The sequence below is a fragment of the Homo sapiens genome, chromosome 9 (assembly GCF_000001405.40).
Source record: "Homo sapiens chromosome 9, GRCh38.p14 Primary Assembly".
In the NCBI taxonomy this organism is placed as follows: domain Eukaryota; kingdom Metazoa; phylum Chordata; class Mammalia; order Primates; family Hominidae; genus Homo; species Homo sapiens.
Window position 1 is genome coordinate 24406075 of NC_000009.12, and position 3587 is coordinate 24409661.

Here is a 3587-nt window from a genome sequence, read left to right on the forward strand (position 1 = left end):
GATCTGGGGTGGCAACCTTCCTTGGTATTTCTCCATTTCTAGGATATATGAGGGTTCCTCAGGGGACAGCTGGCTCCCCAATCCTTGTTTTGTCTTTCTACAGCAACTGAGCCTCACTACTGCCCTCAATCCTATCCTGCAGCCTCCAGTTAGAGATCCAGGTTTCCTGCCCTGTGTTACTAATAAAATGGGCAATTACTTGGGAATAGAGATTTCAGGATAGTAGATGGAAGGAATTTGTTGCCTTTAGCAATAAGATGTCTGATATTGTGAAGTGGTATGGTGTAGTAAAAACACCTGAGATTAAAGAAGAGAGGAATCTATGCCTATTTCTTCTTTTATTCATTTATTTATCAAACATTAATTCATGCATCTGTTCATTTATTTAATGCATACTTACTGAGGACCTATTGTGGGCCAGGCACTGTTACATTGCACTATAAATTTGGTAGGAAGCATTTTTTTTAAAACTGCTTTTATAGTTTGGAGGTATGGGTAGAGGAATCCATGTATAATTTATTAGGGAGATAAGTGGTATTAAGGAAAACAAAGCAAGTATATAATAGAGAATCTCAGAGGCTAGGAAGGCAAGATTTGAGCAGAGACCTGAATGAGGAGAGTATGTGAGTGGGTTCACTCAGTCTCTACCATTTATAAGCCACGAGACTGTGGGCAATGTTTGCATGTCGAGTGAATGCGACATTGTTTGTAAAGACACATTGCATGACACTGAGTAAGAAGTCAAGAAGTCAGAGCTACTAATAATACACATTATTAATAAATCAAAACTAGTAATTGAAATGCTTTTTGTACATATCAACTAACTTTCCTGTTATTAAAAATTATTTCTAATTTTTCGGAAATTCCAGAAAGATTGGCAGTAAACAAGTAATAAACCTTCTTATTCATTTTGTTTTTATACTGGAAGGTCATTAGTCACAGTCTTAAGTATGGACAGTAAAGTTAAAAAATTCAATTGGCAGGAAGTGGGTGCATCTTAAGGGCCATTTAAGAAAGTGTATGAATTTATGAACTTTATAGTGAGAGGATGACTAACAAAAGCTAGCTAAGTACTTTCTGATTCTAGAAAAAAAATAGAGAATTTTCTCTCTGTCTTTGTTTTTCTCTCTAACATGTTAAATTAGCAGAAGACTTCAAATAGTTTGGACACATAAACATTATAACCAAACTCTCCAGTGCTTTCAGGATTTTGATATGCATAAATATATAAGGGAGCTGAAAGACACCCATTCCATTTTCCAACACTTCCTTTGCCCTTGTCCACACGGACCTTGCACATCTCATTGCTTTGTAGTCACATTTGACCAAACAGGTTATTAATTATGTGTCTTAATCTCCTATCATTAACTTCAGAATGAGTCTGAATAAACTGACTGTTTTGTAAGTCTGTCAACTTTAAGAGTTGAAGGTTTTCCACCAAAGAAGAAACTCAAAAGTTTGGACCAACCTGTCTAACATCACTTTCCAGAGAAGTGTCCAAAATATTTGGAGAAGCTTCAATAGTGCAATAAATATATAATTATTGAACTTTGCTACCTTAAAGGAAACAGTACTCATTTAGATAGGTGATCCAAATTTTTACTTTTTTCCCCAAAGGCAATTTTACCTAGACTGTTATATATAAAAGATTAAAAACAGATTTTATTTTATTTTTTTTTAATTTGGTGGAGAGGGATGCTAATGGTGAAACACCCACTGCCATCTACTCAGGTTTTCCCTCACTTGCTAAGGGCAGCCCGCAGGGGTCCATGGAATGTCATTTGAAAACTATGAATTTAAATACCTGATTTCTGTGACTCTAACTTGCAGGTAAAGAAGAAAAGATGGTTGTGGTCTCCACTGATTCTTTCTCCATAGCATGAGTTTACAATCCTAGATGAATGTGTTATTACCTACTATAAATTTTGGTTGTTGAGGAAAAAGACAGGGATATTTAAGTGGTATAATGAAGGATTTCAGTAACATGTGCAGCTTCCTAGCCATTCAACAATCTCTGTCAGAGAGTAGATTTACTTGAGATGGCGTAGGTGAGAGTTAAAAAATAATCATTCCCTCCCTGCACTAGATACTTGCCTAGGCATAACAATTTTGCAATGCTGAGATATTTTACTTATGCATAATTAGTTTTGTCCATATGTCCTATCTTTATTCGTTGATTCAGCATACATATATTTATAAAAACGTACCGTATATTGAGACCAGTATGAGGGCTTAAAGATTAAATAAAAAAAGAGAAAGAGATAAGTTTCTAGGCTTTTGGCACTTAGAGAAATTACAAAATATATTTTACATTAAAATATTTATAATTATGAAGGAAAAGCATCTTTTGGCAGAGGAAGTCATTATTTTCAAGCTGGCTAGAATTATTAGAAAAAAGTGCTTTGCGGGAGGAGGTTCCAAGATGGTCGAATAGGAACAGCTCCAGTCTACAGCTCCCAGCGTGAGCGATGCAGAAGATGGGTGATTTCTGCATTTCCAACTGAGGTACTGGGTTCGTCTCACTGGGGTTCGTCGGACAGTGGGTGCAGCCCATGGAGTGTCAGCCGAAGCAGGGTGGGGCATCGCCTTACCTGGGAAGCACAAGGGGTCAGGGAATTCCCCTTTACTAGCCAAGGGAAGCCATGACAGATGGTACCTGGAAAATTGGGACACTCCCACCCTAATACTGTGCTTTTCCTACGGTCTTAGCAAATGGAATACCAGGAGATTATATCCCGTGCCTGGCTCAGAGGGCCCCATGCCCTTGGAGCCTCACTCACTACTAGCACAGCAGTCTGAGATCAAACTGCAAGGCAGCAGCGAGGCTTGGGGAGGGACCTCCACCATTGCTGAGGCTTGAGTAGGTAAACAAAGTGGCTGGGAAGCTTGAACTCAGTGGAGCCCACTGCTTCTCAAGGAGGCTTGCCTGCCTCTGTAGACTCCACCTCTGGGGGCAGGGCGTAGCTGAACAAAGGGCAGAGAAACTTCTGCAGACTTAAACGTCCCTGTCTGACTGCATTCAAGAGAGTAGTGATTCTCCCAGCATGGAGTTTAAGATCTGAGAGCAGACAGATTGCCTCCTCAAGTGGATCCCTGACTCCTGAGTAGCCTAACTGGGAGGCACCTCCCAGTAGGGGCTGACTGACATTTCATACAGCCAGGTGCCCCTCTGAGATGAAGCTTCCAGAGGAAGGATCAGGCAGCAACACGTTCTGCAGCCTGCACTGGTGATACCCAGGCAAACAGGGTCTGGAGTGGACCTCCAGTAAACTCCAACAGACCTGCAGCTGAGGGTCCTGACTGTTAGAAGGAAAACTAACAAACAGAAAGGACATCCACACCAAAACCCCATCTTTATTTCACCATCATCAAAGACTAAAGGTAGATAAAACCACAAGGTTGAGGAGAAACTAGAGCAGAAAACCTGAAAATTCTAAAAATCAGAGCACCTCTTCTCCTGTAAAGGAACGCAGCTCCTCGGCAGCAATGGAACAAAGCTGGACGGAGAATGACTTTGACAAGGTGAGAGAAGAAGGCTTCAGACAATCGGTAATAACAAACTTCTCTGAGCTAAAGGAGGATGTTTG

The 3587-nt window shown here is 40.3% G+C and overlaps 1 annotated feature.

The window, feature by feature from the left end:
• Positions 2808 to 3355: an enhancer, noted in NCBI's record as "NANOG hESC enhancer chr9:24408880-24409427 (GRCh37/hg19 assembly coordinates)". NCBI's record gives its function as "activates a minimal SCP1, AML or CMV promoter by ChIP-STARR-seq in primed H9 embryonic stem cells {active_cell/tissue: H9 hESC(primed)}" and the evidence as "EXISTENCE:reporter gene assay evidence [ECO:0000049][PMID:30033119]".